We start from the raw sequence: 17,813 nt of genomic DNA on the forward strand, positions 1-17,813 counted from the left end.
GGCGCCCGCCACCGCTCCCGGCTAATTTTTTGTATTTTTAGTAGAGACGGGGTTTCACCGTGTTAGCCAAGATGGTCTCGATCTCCTGACGTTGTCATCCGCCCGCCTCGGCCTCCCAAAGTACTGGGATTACAGGCATGAGCCACTGCGCCCAGCCTCTTTTTTTTTTTTTAAGATGGAGTCTCGCTCTGTCACCAGGCTGGAGTGTGGTGGCACGATCTTGGCTCACTGCAACCTCCGCCTCCCGGGTTCAAACGATTCTCCTCCCTCAGCCTCCTGAGTAGCTGGGATTACAGGCATGCGCCACCACGCCCAGCTAATTTTTGTATTTTTAGTACAGACGGGGTTTCACCATGTTGGCCAGGCTAGTCTCAAACTCCTGACCTCGTGATCCGCCCGCCTCAGCCTCCCAAAGTGCTGGGATTACAGGTGTGAGCCACTGCGCCCGCCAGACAGCAGCATTTTTGCTGTTGGCTGTGAACACCTTGGAGAGCTTCAGTGTGTAAAGGTTGAGGGAAAGTAGGTTTAAATTATAGGTCAGATTCCCAGGCCAACAGTGGTACTGAAATGAGGGACGTGTTTCTGCTGGATTGCATGTTTTTCTAGCACCTCTGGCAATCAAGCACCAGAACTTGGAAAGACAGAGGAGTGTGAGGTCGAGCAGCCACACGGGCAGAGGCACCTTCTTCCAAGCCTGACAGGTTTTGCTTTATTACCAGAATATCATCTCCGGGTGGGACTAGCCTGCAGTCAGTGAGGGAGAGTGCGTAACAGGAAGTTGATCCAGGGAGAGCGGCAGTGGCCAGTACCCGTCTCTACTTCTACCCCAGCAGAACACAGTACCCCAGGTCACAGCACACCTAACCTTGAAAGTCAGGCTACCGGACTAGCAAGGAAACCTCCCTGGTACTCTTGATACATGTGCCTGGATTTATTTACATATCCAGAGAGGATGGGGAAATCATTTCCTAAACCATCCTTGGAAAAGTTCAGAGATTTCATAATATATGCTGAAATAAGAAACTTTTTTTGTTGAAGTATGTGACATTTATACAGAAAAATATGTAATTAATCACAGAATGAACACCCCTTGTCACCACAGCACCCAAGACAAGAAATAGATTACCATTACCCCCAACTTCCTCCATCCTCCTTCCGGTCCGGACCCTCCCTCTGTCCCAGGGGCAACAACTGTTCTGTCCTCTAACACTGTGGGTTAGTTTTGCCTGTATTTTTACTGTGTAATTGGAATCATATACAGTTGACTCTTCAACAATGCAGGGCTTAGGGGAACCAACTTCTCTATGCAGATAAAAATCGGTGTATAACTTTTGACTTCCCAAAAACTTAATTACTGATAGCCTACTCTTGACCGGAAGCCTCATTGATAACATAAACAGTTGATTAACCATGTTTTGTATACGTATTATATACTGGATTCTTACAGTGAAGTAAGCTAAAGAAAAGAAAATGTTGTTAAGAAAATCATAAGGAAGAGGGAACATATTTACAGTACTGTACTGTATTTGTCGATACTGTAAGTTTAGGTCATCTGTTTACACGACGAATCATTCATCTGAAACGGCGACAACAGCAGCTGAAACCTCAGTCTATGTACATGTCAAGCAATTCAGCCTTTTCCTGTAAGGTCATGACATTTCTCTGTGTGGGAGCACCTCCAGCATCACGAGTGGCACTTCATATGGTCCCATGGTGTTACTCGAGGTTTACAATATCGCACTAAACACGATGAAAAATATGTGAGAACTGCAAGGAACACTTTTGACTGTGAAGCGCAATTGATTGGTGCGATGACCTGCTCACATGGAGATGATTGGCATCACACTGTGTTGTAAGCAGATACCTGAGCTCACCGCAATAGCAAGAGGAGGCGGCTAAGAACTTATTATGGCAGTGTAGTATGTACTATGGTTAATCTTATGCAGTTATGATTTAATACTCCATCTTTAAAACATTTGTTTAGATTTTTCCCAACTGCAAATGGCATCATGTACAGTCAGCAAGGGTGTGTGTATGTTTGGATAAATTTTAACTTTTTATAATAGACTTATGTACATTTTATGACAGTAAATGATAACTTAGACTAGCCATCTACATATATTTTATGCATTCATGACACACTTAACTTTTTCTAATTATTTTTAATTATTTTCTAACATTTTCCAATATTTTAGGCTATACGGTTCATCTGTGAGTTTTCTCAAATTGTTGTAAGTCCCCCCAAAATTTTCCAATATCCTTATTGAAAAAAATTTGGCTCATGCCTGTAATCCCAACACTTTAGGAGGCCAAGGCAGGTGGATAGCTTGAGGTCAGGAGTTCAAGACCAGCCTGACCAACGTGATGAAACCCCATCTCTACTAAAAAGACAAAAATTAGCCGGGCATGGTGGTGCATGCCTGTAATCCCAGCTACTCAGGAGGCTGAGACATGAGAATCACTTGAATCCGGGAGGCAGAGGTTGCAGTGAGCCGAGATCATACCACTGCACTCCAGCCTGGGCAACAGAGTAAGACTCAGTATCAAAAACAAACAAACAAACAAACAAAAAAACTCACATATAAGTGGTGCCATGTAGCTCAAACCCTTGTTGTTCAAGGGTAAACTGTAGTGTGTGTTTGTGGTTGCCTTTGTACCCTTAGTTGTGTGTTTGAGGAACATAAGTCATTAAATAATAGTAGTAGTCTGATTTTATCAGTATTTTCCTCTGTGGTCAGTGTTTCTTGCATCTTGTTAAAGAAACGTGGCCTATCCCAAAGTCATTCTTTTGCTTTTCTTCCTTATCTTCTAAAAACTTATTGTTCTGCCTTTTATGTTTATGTTTAATTTATTATTTTTTAGAGACAAGGTCTCATTCTGTTGCCCAGGCTGAAGTGCAGTGGTGCAATCCTGCCGCCTTAAACTCCTGGGCTCAAGCAATCCTCCTGCCTCAGCCTCCCCAGTAGCTAGAACTACAAGTGCATACGACCACACTTTTAATACAAATCAATCTTTCTTCCCTCCCCTCCCCTGCCTTCCCCTCCCTTCCCTTTCCTTCCCTTCCCTTCCTTTCTCCTTTTCCTTCCCTTCTCCTTTCCCTTCCCTTCCCTTCCTTTCCCTTCCCTTCCCCCTTCCCTTCTCCCTTCCCTTCTCCCTTCCCCCTTCCCTTCTCCCTTCCCTTCCCTCCCTCTCTCTCCTTTCCCTTCCTTTCTCCTTCCCTTCCCCTTCCTTTTCTTATCCTTCCCTTCTCCCTTCCCCATCCCTTCCCTTTCCCTTCCCTTCCCCTTTCCTTTTCTCTCCCTTCCTTCTCCCTTCCTTCCCCTTCCTTCTTTTTCCCTTCCTTTCTCCCCTTCCTTCCCCTCCCCTTCCCCCTCCCTTCTCCTTCCCTTCCCCTTCCTTCCCCCTTTCTTTCCTTTCCCGTCCCCCCCCTTCCCTTTCTCCTTCCCTTCCCTTTCCTTCCCCCTTCCCTTCCCTTTCCTTCCCCCTTCCCTTCCCTTTCTTTCTCCCTTCCCTTCCCCCTTCCCTTCCCTTCCCCCTTCCCTTCCCTTTTCCCTTCCCTTCCCCCTTTCCTACCCCATTCTTTTCCCTTCCCTTCCCTTCCCCCTTCCCTTCTCCTCCCCCTTCCCCTCTCTTCCCCCTTCCCCCTTCCCCCTTCCCCCTTCCCCCTTCCCCTTCTCCCTTCCCCCTTCCCCCTTCCCTTCCTCTTTCCCCCTTCACTTCCCTTCTCCCTTCCCCCTTCCCTTCCCTTCTCCCTTCCCCCTTCCCTTCCCTTCTCCCCTCCCCTTCCCCTTTCCCTTTCCTTTCTATTTCCACCTCTCTCTCTGTCTCTTTCTCTCTCTTTCTTTCTAAGTATCATAGAGCAACACAATTTTCTTATTTCTTTATTTTTTGTAGAGACAGGATCTGCTATGTTGCCCAGGCCTCAAGCGATCCTCCTGTTGTGGCCTCCCATAATGCTGGGATTACAGGCACAAGCCACTGCACCTGGCGTGGCTTTTATGTTTAGATCTACAGTCCACTTGGAAAGGATTTGCTTATTGGGTGAGGAGGAGTCAAGATTCACTTTTTCGTATGTGGATATCCGGTTGGCTCAGCACTGTTTGTTGAAATGACTGTCCTTAACCTACTGCTCAGCAGTGCTACCTTTGCCATAAATCAGTGGCTATATGTATTTTGATCTGTTTCTAGACCCTGTTCTGCTTCATTGTTCTATTGATCTATTCCTGTCTAATATAGTTTTATATATTAGATAGGCACGACACTGTCTAATATAGTTTTGTTATAAGTCTTTATATCTAGGAAAAACAATTCCTCTAAGTTTGTTCTTTGAAATTTCTTGGTAGTTATTGACCTTTTGCACTTCCATTTAAATTTTAGAGTCAGTTTGCCGGTTTACACAAACAAATCCTGCTAGAATTTTTATTTGGATTGCCTTGAATCTATAGATCACCTAGGGGAGAACTGACATTTTTATAATATTGAGTCTTCCAATCTATGCACATGGTAGGCCCATCTGTTTACTTAGGTATTCTCTAATGTTTCTCTATAATGTTGTATAATGTACTGAATAGAAATCTTATCCATATTTGTTAGATTTATTCTAGATATTTGTTGGTTTTGGTCCTTCCCTTTTCTCTGGAATTTAGCTCCGCACAGCTTCACTGTCTTGGAAGCTCTCTGGTTGTCTCAAACTTTCTAGTACCTGCATCCAGCTTTTCCATTTGTTTCAGTTGCAGAATTGCTGCAGAATAATTGAGTTTGCTGTTTCAGAATGTGGCATTCCTCCATGCTGACTGCAATTTGTTTTAATTTATATAGTGCTTTAATTTTATTTTGTTTACAGCTATATATAGAAAATAATTATTTTTTATTAATGCTATATAAAAACTTAATATTTGCTGACTATGAAACTAATAACAGAAAACATGCTTTCATATTGTTTTATCAATTTTTGATGTAGGAGTTTATACAAGAAATAGAAACTTTCGGCTATATAAATCATCAAAAATTGGAAAGCGTGTGGCTTTGGAGGTTACTGAAGATAACAAATTTTTTCCTATACAGTCAAAAGATGTTTCTGACGAATATCAATATTTTCTCTCTTCTTTGGTCAGCAATGTCAGGTATGTAGTAGCAGCATCAAACCATTTTGTATTCATGAATATTTATTAAACAGTGAATGGCATTGTATATTACTAAAATGTAAATCATCTAAATTCATTCTACCTTAAGAAAATGTCAGTTCTTACAGCTCTTTTTTTTTTTTTTTTTTTTGATACAGAGTCTCCCTCTGTCACCCAGACTGGAGTGCAGTGGCGCTATCTAGGCTCAGTGCAAGCTCTGCCTCCCGGGTTCATGCCATTCTCCTGCCTCAGTCTCCCAAGTAGCTGGGACTACAGGCGCCTGCCACCACACCCGGCTAATTTTTGTATTTTTAGTAGAGATGGGGTTTCACCATGTTAGCCAGGCTTGTCTCGAACTCCTGACCTCAGGTGATCTGCCGACCTCAGCCTCCCAAAGTGCTAGGATTACAGGTGTGAGCCACCGCGCCCAGCCAGTTCTTACAGTTCTAAGTTAACTTTTCTCTTTTCTCCATTAGCTAAAAGATAATAGTAAAACGTATATTTGAACACTTAATTTTCTCTATATATCTTTTTAGGATTATATTTAGTGTATTTTCCAATTTTTCTAAAATGATTATCACTTCTGTAAAGAAGAAAACAATACTACTGGTATTGCATTTGGAAATATTTTACTATTAAAATGTCTCATTTTCTTTTCATGTATGCACATACATATAATTTGTATAGCTCCTTTAATCAAAAAATATTCTGAGATTATTATTTAAATGATTGTCATTTGTTTTTTCTACTTGATTTTATGAATATTTGTTAAGAATTTGCCAACAATTAATTGTAAATAAAACTTCTAATGCCTATGTAAATTTCCATTATATTGACACTGGAATTTATTGTGAGTTCTATTGTTGAGCCTTTAGGTTCCCATGTTTTGATCATTTTTTAAAAGTGTTAATGTTGGCTAGGCACAGTAGCATGTGCCTGTAGTCCCAGCTACCCAGGAGGCTGAGGTAGGAGGATCACTTGAGCCCAGGAGTTCAAAGCTGCAGTGAGCTATGAATGCACCACTGCACTCCAGCCTGGGTGACAGGGTGAGACCCCATTGCTAAAAACTAAAATAAATAAATAAATAAAAATAAAATCTGTGAAAGTCATCTTTCAACAGAAATACTATAGTAAGTCTTCATTTGATGTTGATAAGTTATTGGAAACTGAACTTTAAATAATGTGTGATGAATCCAGTTGTTTTTCTCATCCATGTTAGAAGGTAGTGGTCCCTGAGTCACAGACCAGTGGTCTGTGGTGGGAACTGGACCCCACAGCAGGAGGTGAGCAGTAGGCGAGCGAGCGAGCAATACCACCTTCCCACCTCAGCTCCGCCTCCTGCCAGATCTGCAGTGGCATTAGATTCTTATAGGAGTGCAAATCCTGCTGTGAACAGCACATGGGAGGGATCTAGGTTGCACACTCCTTATGAGAATCTAATGCCTGATGATCTGAGGTGGAACAGTTTCAGCCTGAAACCAGCCCACCTTGCCCCTGCCCCACCCATGGAAAGATTGTCTTCCAGGAAACCGGTTCCTGGTGCCAGAAAGGTTGGGGACTGCCGTTATAAGGAAATGATGTTGAACAAAACAACATTATTCAAAGACCTGCTAGATGTCATTTCTCTTAGAGTTGCAGTTTCCAAGAATCTATCCATGGCCTTAAGTGAGGACTTAACTGTATTTGCCTTCATTCCCTGTTTTTCTAGGCTGGCAACTTTTTCAGCCCAAAACATGGTTAAGGTTCAGACTAAATTACCATCAACTTGCCATAATTCTTTTCCTTTTGCCTTTCTAAATATAATTTTTTTTTTGAGACAGTCTTGCTCTGTGGCCTAGGCTGGAGTGCAGTGGTGCGATCTCAGCTTACTGCAACCTCTGCCTCACAGGTTCAAGCGATTCTCCTGCCTCAGCCTCCCAAGTAGCTGGGACTACAGGTGTGTGCCACCACACCCAGATAATTTTTGTATTTTTAGTAGAGATGGGGTTTCCCCATGTTGGGGGGGCCGGTCTCAAACTCCTGACCTCATGTGATCTGCCCACCTTGGCCTCCCAAAGTGCTGGGATTACAGGCGTGAGCCACCGTGCCCGGCCACTTAAATATAATTTTAAGGAAAGATTCTCTAGAAATTAATTTTAGTAATTGTCTAAAATACATTGCTGTAGGTATCAGGTTGTACAGTTAACAGCCGTTACCCAGGAGGGTGGAAGATGGATTGTTTTTCTTCATATATATATATAAGTATATTTGTACTCTTTGAGTTCTTTAATAACATGTCTCAGAAGTAAGGTCTGAGTTTCCTACTTTTAAATGGAAGTGATACTAACACCTATCTTACGGAGTTGTCGAGAGGATTTAAAAAGTTAAAACTGCACATAAAACATTTACAGCTGTGCCCAGCCCATGACATCTGCTCAGTGAATGTTGTTGGTAGCAGTAGTAGATCCGGGATTCTGAAGTGCAAAGTGCCGTAGCAGGAGTGTAAAAATTGTGTAATTCCTGCCACACCCTATTGGCACCAGAATAAGGTCACATTCTTTCTGCCACGTATGGAGAAGTGTGAAAAGCAACATTGTTAGTTCTAGCTCATATGGGAAAAGCAACTACAGCCCGAAGTGCAGGTAATCTCCCGATTACCCAATCTCGTTTCTTTCGCAGTTTAAATATGAATCTTACAGAGGTGGAGGGTTCTTCTACTGAATACAGTTACCTTGTCTTTTGTGTATTCCAAGTAAATACCAGGTAGTTTACTTCTTGAAATAAAGGCTAAATCCTTTATGGTTATGAATGTACCTTTTCTTTCCGTTAATTTTAATCTGTTTTTCCCCTTTGCTCTCACCCCTCCTTCTTTCTTCATTTCTTCCTATAAGTCACACCTCTAAAATTGTTGTAACAAAAAATTCAAAGGCTCTTTGTGTTTGGTGAATAGAGTTATATAGTCGTCTCCTGGTGTCTGTGGGTGATTATTATTCCAAGGTCCCTGTGGATACAAAAATCTGCAGATATAAAAGGATGTACTATTTTCACGTAACCCACACGCATCCTCCCTATATAATACTGTAAATCCTTCTAGATTACCTATACCTAATATAGTGCACATGCTATATAGTTGTTATACTATATTGTTTTTAATTTGTATTATTTTTATTATTTTTATTGTTTTTTTATTTTTATTTTCACTTATTTACTTATTTTTTTGAGATGGAATCTCACTCTGTCTCCCAGGCTGGAGTGCAGTGGTGCAATCTCAGCTCACTGCAACCTCTGCCTCCTGGGTTCAAGCAGTTCTTCTGCCTCAGCCTCCCATGTAGCTGGAATTACAGGCGTTTGCCACCATGCCCAGCTAATTTTTGTATTTTTAGTAGACAGGGGTTTCACTATGTTGGCCAGGCTGGTCTCAAACTCCTGACCTCAAGTGATCGGCCCATCTCAGCCTCCCAAAGTCCTGGGATTATAGGCGTGAGCCACTGCATCTGGCCTATTTTTATTGTTTTTTAAAAAACATACTTTTGATCTGCTGTTGGTTGAATCTGCAGATAAGAAACCATGGACACAGGGCTTCAGCAGTCCTAGAGTCCCCTGATCCATTCTGTAATTAAGGATAGTATTATAAGTAATCACCAACCTACTCTTTTAAAAAAATTATTTTCTTTAATTGACAAATCATATTTTTTTTATATGTGTAGGGTTTGTGGTTTTGTGGGCAAATGTGGCATAAATGTCCTAGAACAATTATCTGCTGAACAAAGGATTTTAATGAGGAACTATTAGGAATTCAGTGTCCTTTCTGTAGCCAGGCCTTGTTAGTTCCAGTGTGATGGTGCTTTGTTTCTTTTACCTATTTCTTCTTCAGGTTCTCAGATACTTTACGAATTCTTACATGTGAGCCATCTCAGAATAAACAAAAAGGAGTTGGATATTTTAACAGTATCGGCACTTCAGGTAAATTTTTTGATGTTTGTTTTTCTTTTTGAGACAGCATCTCTCATTGTCACCCAGGCTGGAGTGCAGTGGTGCGATCTCGGCTCACTGCAGCCTCCTCCTCCCAGGCTCAAGCCATCTCCTGCCTCAGCCTCCGGAGTAGTTGGGTTTACAGGTGTGCACCATCACGCCCAGATAATTTTTGCATTTTTAGTAGAGATGAGATTTCACCATGTTGCCCAGGCTGGTCTCAAACTCCTGGGCTCAAACGATCTGTCTGCCTCAGCCTCCCAAAATGCTGGGGTTACAGGTGCAAGCCACTGCACCCAGCTACTTCAGGTAATTTTTAAAAAATAATTTCCTATCAAAATGTAAGGGTACAGAATCTGTTTTGCCTTTAAAATCTTCAGTGTTAAGTGTTCATAATCACTGACCTTTCAAAAACTACCTCTAGCCAAGCACAGGGGCTCACACCTGTAATTCCAGCACTTTGGGAGGCTGAGGCGGGAGGATCACTTGAGCCCAGGAGTTAGAGACAATCCTGAGCAACTTAGCAAAACCCTATCTCTACAAAAAATCCAAAAATTAGCCAGGAATTGTGGTGCATGCCTGTAGTCCCAGCCACTCAGGAGGCTAAGGCAGGAGGATCTCTTGAGGCCAGGAGGTTGAAGCTACAGTGAGTCTTGTTGGTGCCATTGCACTCCAGCCTGGACAGCAGAATCAGACCCTGTCTCAACCAGTCAATTAATCAATTAATCAATCAGTAATCTACTTCAGGTTTTCTATCTCAAATGGAAAAAGTATGAGAAAGATGTTTATTAAGAAGTATTATTCACTGGGCGTGGTGGCTCATGCCTCTAATCCCAGCACTTTGGGAGGCTGAGTCGGGCAGATAACCTGAGTTCAGGAGTTTGAGAACAGCCTGGCCAACATGGTGAAACCACTAAAAATATAAAAATTAGCAGGGCATGGTGGCGGGTGCCTGTAATCCGAGCTACTCAGGAGACTGAGGAGGAGAATCACTTGAACCTGGGAGGCGGAGGTTGCAGTGAGCTGAGATTGTGCCATTGCACTCCAGCATGCGCAACAAGAGTGAGACTCCATCTCAAAAAAAAAAAAAAAGTATTATTCACTAATTTCACTAATTTTCATTTTATGGTGTTTTTCAAAAAACTACAAAAATAATGTAGGTTAACAAAATGAAAATGTAAAGTTCTTTTTCACTCTTCTGTCCATGATCAAAGGCAGGTAACCACTGCAATCATTTGCTATTTAACCTAGAAGAGCGTTTCCTATATTTCCTATATATAGAGAGAGATCTTCCTCAGTCTTTTAATGGTTGTATAGTTTTTCATGGTATAGCTCTGTCATAACTTACCCATTCCTCTACTGAAGAACATAGAGTGTTTTTTTCAAAGATTTCTTACATAAGCCCTCCAGTAAACATTTTTATACACATATTTTCATATATTGTTATTTATAATAGCAAAAAACTGACAGCAATCTAAATGTACAACAAAATTGAATTGGTTATATACTATGAAATCCTCTAGCTGTTAAATTTAAATTTGTGAAGCCTGTATAATGTGGAAAACACCCATTTGTGATGTTAAAAGAAAAACTAGTCTCTAAAATTATGTGTATGGTATGATTACAAGCTTTAAAATATGGATAAATTTTCTTATGTTTATTTTCTTGTCTTATATGTATTTATAGACATTGATTTAGAGTCTGCCTCTCACATTTCCACATTAATATATTTTTCAATATTTCTCCAATTATATATATTATTTTAGTAAGTGAAACATAAACTTCATTTAAAGCAAACTAGATTCTTGTCCTTAAAAATTAAATGATACTGGCTGGGTACGGTGGCTCACGCCTGTAATCCCAGCACTTTGGGAGGCCAAGGCAGGCGGATCATGAGGTCAGGAGTTCAAGACCAGCCTGACCAATGCAGTGAAACCCCGTCTCTACTAAAAATACAAAAATTAGCAAGGCGTGGTGTTGCACGCCTGTAATCCCAGCTACTCAGGAGGCTGAGGCAGGAGAATCGCTTGAACCCAGAAGGCCGAGCTTGCAGTGAGCCGAGATCGCGCCACTGCACTCCAGCCTGGGCAACAGAGCAAGACTCTGTCTCAAGAAAAAAAAAAAATTAAATGATATTTAAAATAGGTCATTCTAAATTACTACAGTAGCTTTTTAGATAGAAAATATAATTGTATTGTCAGTACCTTCCAGCTAAAGGTCTCAGGGCACACACCTGTAGCAGGTCAGCTGAGTGTATTGCCAGGAAAGCAATGGTGAGCACACACCATGGGAAACTTCAGTAAAGTGGGGCATCTTGGGAAGAGGAGGTTGGAAAGGACCGGGAGGATTGGATTTGGGCTTGGAATGGGTGGCTTGGGGGAGTATACCAGGAAGTTTGGGGTTTGTTCTGAGTTGGGTGTTGTTAGGGACAATTCTAGGACTGGTTTTCTTAGTAAAGCTTAACTGAAAGGAAATCAGAATAGAAATTAACACTGTACTTTGTTAAAAAAAACAAACAAAAAAACCAGCAGTTGCTTCTGTTAGCTGGGATCGGGGGTGTTGGTCATGTTTGTGGTTTGGAAGATGTTCCTGTTTTGCCTGTGTTGGGACATGATTACAGAGTGGTTATCTTTGTGCCTTGAGTCCTCATGACCACAGGGGCCTTATCTGTTGTTGAAGTTCTGTGAGATTGCCTGTGTTCACAGGAGAATGCCCGGCTGAGGTAGGCGTGCCAGGCTAGTGCATGGCAACACCAAGACCTGGCTGATGGAGCTAGGCCTGTTATGGACGTGAGGGACTGCCTTTCTCTTTGCCAAAATGAAGACAGCAGTTGAAATTATTTCAAACGCTTTTTATGAAATTAGTTAACATTTGACCTAATTGAGAGGTTTGAATCTTACCTGCTTCCTTGTAGTGTCACAAACATGAATTGACTGAAATTGCAAAGAGTGAGGGAAGGCTGAGAGATTGCAAAACCCGTAATTGTGCTCAACAACATTTAATCAAAATTTAACTTCTCAACTTTCAGCTATTGTAATTTATAAACCATTCTCTCTGTTGCAGTAGAAACCATTGAAGGTTTTCAGTGTTCTCCCTATCCTGAAGTTGATCATTTTGTTCTTTCTTTGGTGAATAAAGATGGCATTAAAGGAGGTAAAGTTAATCTCATCCTTTGTTAACTGTTATATGATAGAGTGATAGTAGCTTTAGAAACATTATTTGCATTTTAGGAATTCGGCGTTGGAACTACTTTTTCCCAGAAGAATTACTGGTTTATGATATTTGTAAATATCGGTGGTGTGAAAACATTGGAAGAGCCCATAAGAGTAATAATATAATGTAAGTAATATTAATGATTTGTGTGTATTTAACCAATATTATATTTTAAATATTTATAACTTTTAAAGTTGCGAATATGAAAACTATTTTGTTTTAAAAATAAATTTAGTTGTATTAAATTTCTTTTTTTTTTCCAAGACGAAATCTTGCTCTGTCGCCCAGGCTGGAGTACAGTGGCGCGATCGCGGCTCAGTGCAACCTCCGCCTCCTGGGTTCTAGCAATTCTCCTGCCTCAGCCTCCTAAGTAGCTGGGATTACAGGCGCCTGCCACTACACCCAGCTAATTTTTGTATTTTTAGTAGAGACAAGGTTTCACCATGTTGGCCAGGCTGGTCTCGAACTCCTGACCTTGTGATCCACCCACCTCAGCCTCCCAAAGTCCTGGGATTACAGGTGTGAGCCACTGCACTCAGCTGTTGTATTAAATTTCTATTTGTTGTATATGGTTAGCATTACATAATATTTAATTTAAATGTTGTGATTATTGCGTTGCTTCTAGCATGTCAGCTTTATGTGTACTTTCTTTGCTAAGATAACCCCTTAGTATATGTGGAGAGGACAAAGGTGGGGTTGAGCAGGGCTGGGAGAAGGCTGTGGGCAGGGAGCAGTGAGGATGGGAAGCATGCCTGTCCTTCCTGTTGCCATTGGCCCTTGCCACCTTATGGACTCTACGTCGAAAGTGCGCAGGTTTGGGCAAGAAGGGATCTCCTCAGTTAGTGTTAAGAGCTGGAGCTAGGATTGTGTTAACTCGTTCAAGACACAGCATGGTACTGAGGGAACTAGTATTTATTGAATGCTTGCTATATATGCCAGGCCCTGTTTTAGAGATTTTCTTTAAAACGCCCATGGGAAGAGGAGGGAAAGTAAAGGATGAAGTAAAGCCAGAAATAGAACTTTAAAATATAAAAGGATGTGATTAGAATAGAGATAAATAGATACCCAGTAGTTATCAGTTATGAGGTGAGAAATTTTGCTGTTTTTTATTTCATGTCAAAGCAACTCCCGTATCCTCAAGCATATGCGGCCTGTGTGCTGGACATGGGGAATGATCGGGAAGCTCTTGCTGGGAAGCTGGAAACACATTGGGTAGCATGGTTCAGTGCCATACTTGATATACTTAGATTAATTCAGTTTAAAAAAAGCTTGCAAAAACTATATGCTCAATACACAAAGCTATAACGTAGAAAACACGAAGGAGATACAGTGCCACAGCCAGGGCATAACTGCAGCTATCAGTTGACGTTTCTTCTGTTCTTTTTTCTATGCGTATTAACTTACCAAAAAATCATTATTACATGGTGATCATAACACCTTGTATTATGTCTCCATAATCTATTCTGTTTTTTAACCGTGGAATATATCATACATACAAAAGTATAGATAACACACTTTTTTTTATTTTCTGAGATGGAATCTCACTCCGTTGCCCAGGCTGGAGTGCAGTGGCATGATCTCAGCTCACTGCAACCTCCGCTTCCTTGATTCAAGTGATTCTCCTGCCTTAGCCTCTCAAGTAGCTGGGATTACAAGTGTGTACTACCATGCCCGGTTAATTTTTGTAATTTTAGTAGAGACGGAGTTTCACTATGTTGGCTGGGCTGGTCTCAAACTCCTGACCTCAAGTGATCTGCCCGCCTTGGCCTCCCAAAGTGCTGGGATTACAGGTGTGAGCCACCGCACCCAGCCGATAACACACTTGTATACGCACATTTTAAAGACTAAAGTGACCACCTGTTGTATCTGCCGCCCACCTTAACAACCAGAAGCTGATCAAACCTCAGAAGCACCTGTGGGCCCAACCCCAATTTCCTTCTCTCCCTGGCCCTCAGAGATGGTAGCCAGTATCCCGATTTTGTGTTCATCTTTTCCTCGCTTTTATGATTTCTCCCATATACGTTCATATCTCTAAACAATATACTGTTTTCTTTTTCTTTTCTTTTGTTTTTTGAGACAGAGTTTTGCTCTTGTCGCCCAGGCTGGGGTGCAATCGCACGATCTCGGCTCACTGCAACCTCTGTCTCCCGGGTTCAAGCAATTCTCCGGCCTCAGCCTCCCGAGTAGCTGGGATTACAGGCATGCGCCACCATGCCCAGCTAATTTTTTGTATTTTTAGTAGAGACGGGGTTTCTGCATGTTGGTCTGGCTGGTCTCGAACTCCCGACCTCAGGTGATCTGCCTGCCTTGGCTTCCCAAAGTGCTGGGATTACAGGCATGAGCCACCGTGCCCGGCCATAAACAATATAGTGTTTTCTTTTGCTTGTTTTCGAATCGCATCCTCTCCCTTGCCTTGCGGTAGCATATCTGTGATTTTCACCCACGTTGCAGTATGTAGCTGTTGCTTATTTGTGTCACTATTGTGCAGCATGCCATGTGTATAAATATAAATAGGCCACAGTTTATCTGTTTTCCCACAGTGGACATTTGGGTTGCTATTATAAACCGTGAAGGTGGGAACCGTGTTGTACATATCACCTAGTATACATGTGCTAGAGTTTCTCAAAGTGGACTTGCTGTGTCGTGGAATATGCACATAATTAATTTTACTAGATCATAAATTGTTTTCCCAAATGGGTGTGCCAGTTTATAGTCCTGCCAGCAGTGTTTTGAGATTTTTCTACTGTTCCATATTCTCACCAACACTTTAGTATTGTTAGGATTAAAAAATTGGTTTTGCTCATCTGGCAGATGTAAAACAATATTGTAGTTTTCTTGGGAATTTCCCTGATTACTAATGAAGTTGAGGATGGATAATCAAATTACATCCACACAGATCAGAAATCTTGCCCAGTGTCAAGCTTTACTAATAATGTAGGAATACAAGGAATGAAAAGGCACAAATGGGGCAGAGTGAGGCCCGGGGCATCTGGCCCGGCTCCCCTGGCCCTTCCTGCTCTTTCTGACTCAGGAGGAAACCCGAGGCAGGCGTGAGCAATCCATGCACACAGCAGGAAGCACCGAGGTTGTGAATCACCTGCATTTTACACTCAAGTTGCACAGCTGGGTGACATTTCCGGAAAGCATGCCTCATAATGCATTGATTCTAGACTTTTTACCAAATGCAGTTCTAAAGTCAGAAACGTCCTACGAAGAGCATTCTGTAGGTAAGGACTGAACTCCTAGCGTTTGGTCCAGACGTTCCCCGATTTTCTTGGTTCATGGTTCCCCTGGTGTCTTTGTTTCTTCACATTTTCTCTGAGGCTGACAGAAATACCCGAGCTCTGGTAATGAATTTCAAACAACTTGGTAAGTGTTTATGTCCGAACAGTTTAGTAGCAGTTTGAATAATAGTATCCATAAACTAAAAAAAAAAGCCACTTTTCATTCTTAAATACAATTACTTATTAATGGGATGTATACTCTCCATTTTTTCATTTTTTTGAGACAGGGTCTCGCCCTGTCGCCCAGGCTTGAGTGCAGTGTGATGGCCCAGGCTTGAGGACAGAGTGCAGGAGCTCACTGCAGCCTTGATCTCCTGGGCTTGAGCGATCTTCCTGCTTCAGCCTCTCACGTAGTTTAGACTACAGGTGTGCCACCATGGCTGGTTAATTTTTAAATTTTTTGTAGGTGGGATCTCCCTCTCTTGCCCAGGTTGGCCTTGAACTCCAGCCTTCAAGCTATCCTCCCACCTCAGCCTCCCAAAATGCTGGAATTACAGGTGTGAACCACCTCACCAGGCCTATGTATGCACTCTTAAACCCTGGAATCAGATTAGACCCCACCCTCCCCAACTCATACCTTGTTCTCCATTGATGTTAATGGTGCTTTTTTTTTTTTTTTTTTTTTTTTGAGATGGAGTCTTGCTCTGTCACCCAGGCTGAAGTGCAGTGGTGCAATCTCGGCTCACTGCAACCTCTGCCTCCTGGCTTCAAGCAATTCTCCTGCCTCAGCCCCCCGAGTAGCTGGGATTACAGGTGCCCACCGCCACGCCTGGCTAATTTTTGTTGTATTTTTATTAGAGATGCGGTTTCACCATGTTGGCCAGGCTGGTCTCGAACTCCTGACCTTGTGATCCACCCACCTCGGCCTCCCAAAGTGCTGGGATTACAGGCGCGAGCCACCATGCCCGGCCTGATGTTAATGGTGCTTTCTATTACAACCACACCCCAAAGCCCAGCTCTACAAAGATGGAGCATGAATGAAAGGAATGAAGTCACATGTGAACTGCAGGCAAGGAGTTTTCAGATTGCTCAAGAAATGTCAAGTATCACTGTGTTTTCTAGCAGTATTTCAATATCCTGCAGTGCCCGGGGCACCTTCCTGTACAGTTTGGGAGCCACAGCATTATTAGCTCATTAATTGGGAGGCCTGTTACTAGAATGTTTAAGGGAAGATTAGACTAAGTCACCTGCCTTTTTTTGCTCCTGGGTGCAGGTCCCTTACCACCTCCCCATCCCACACCTCACCTACTGCCATGGGGAGTGTTAACCATCTTATTTCCTTTTCTGTAAAATGTGGGAACATTTTCAACTATTTAATCAAATCTTTAAGAATTTTAGTGATTATAGGATTGTTTAGGTTTTCTGTTGCTTTTTAAGTTTGCTTAGTTTATTTTTATGTAGTACTTTATTTTACAAAAACTTTCAAAGTTACTGGCAAAAGTTGTTCACAATATTGTTTTCTTAAAAACATATGATGCATTTAATTTCTAATAACATTTGTGTCTTTGCCTTATTTTTAAATCAATTTTACCCTAATTTCATTTTCTTCAAATGTAGGCCTCGTTGATTCTTTTTACTTTTGTCTCTTTATGACTGCCTGCCTTTTATTTATTTATTTACTTATTTATTTATTTAGAGACAGAGTCTCACACTGTCACCCGGGCTGGAGAGCAGTGGCACCAGCTTGGCTCACTGCAACCTCCGCCTCCCAGGTTCAAGTGATTCTCCTGCCTCAGCCTCCCAAGTAGCTGGGATTACAGGTGCCCCCCACCACGCCCAGCTAATTTTTGTATTTTCAGTATAGACGGGGTTTCACTATGTTGGCCAGGCTGGTCTCTTTATTCAGTTCGTTGTTTTCCACGTTAGTCACTTAATCCATGTATCTTTAGCTATTCTTCTTTCATAACACAAGATTTTAAGACTATAAATTACCCTCTAAAGGTGACTTTAGCTGCATTTCACATATTTTAATATGTACACTTCCAGTCCACTCAGGTCTAAGCGTTTTCTAATTTCCACTATTTTTCCTTGAACCATTGGTTGTTTCAAGTTGTTCTTAATTTCCAAATTATGGATTTCTATTAGTTTTATTTCTAAAATTTGCTTTATGCTCAGATGTGTTCTGTATGAAGTGATGATTTTAAATTTGATAAAATTCACTTTATAGCTAGCATGGAATTGGTTTTATAAAGAACTGCTTCATATTTACCTATTAGATCAAACTTCTTAATTGCTTTTTGTC

The 17,813-nt window shown here is 41.6% G+C and overlaps 1 protein-coding gene across 26 annotated transcripts in view, besides 1 other annotated feature; it reads left to right on the plus strand.

The window, feature by feature from the left end:
• Nucleotides 1-17,813, plus strand: part of PRIMPOL (primase and DNA directed polymerase) — a 45,215-nt gene that overhangs the window by 23,534 nt on the left and 3,868 nt on the right. For 16 of the 26 annotated variants that reach the window (XR_938701.4, NR_144312.2, XM_017007867.3 and 13 more), the window contains 4 exons: nucleotides 4,961-5,123; nucleotides 8,977-9,065; nucleotides 12,138-12,227; nucleotides 12,305-12,413. Coding sequence is in view for 22 of the 26 variants with exons in the window: in XM_017007867.3 (XP_016863356.1) it covers nucleotides 4,961-5,123; nucleotides 8,977-9,065; nucleotides 12,138-12,227; nucleotides 12,305-12,413 (451 nt within the window). In the remaining 4 variants the exon portion in view is untranslated. Of the gene's footprint in view, nucleotides 1-4,960; nucleotides 5,124-8,976; nucleotides 9,066-12,137; nucleotides 12,228-12,304; nucleotides 12,414-17,813 lie in introns of those variants that run through there. The other 10 variants (NM_001345893.2, NM_001300768.2, NM_001345898.2 and 7 more) reach the window with 6 other exon arrangements.
• Nucleotides 14,903-16,102: an enhancer, noted in NCBI's record as "P300/CBP strongly-dependent group 1 enhancer chr4:185609328-185610527 (GRCh37/hg19 assembly coordinates)". NCBI's record gives its function as "activates an origin of replication core promoter dependent on BRD2, BRD4, P300/CBP, MED14 and CDK7 cofactors, with strong dependence on P300/CBP, by STARR-seq in HCT116 cells {active_cell/tissue: HCT116}" and the evidence as "EXISTENCE:reporter gene assay evidence [ECO:0000049][PMID:35650434]".

This window comes from Homo sapiens, chromosome 4 (assembly GCF_000001405.40).
Source record: "Homo sapiens chromosome 4, GRCh38.p14 Primary Assembly".
Classification (NCBI taxonomy): Eukaryota; Metazoa; Chordata; class Mammalia; order Primates; family Hominidae; genus Homo; species Homo sapiens.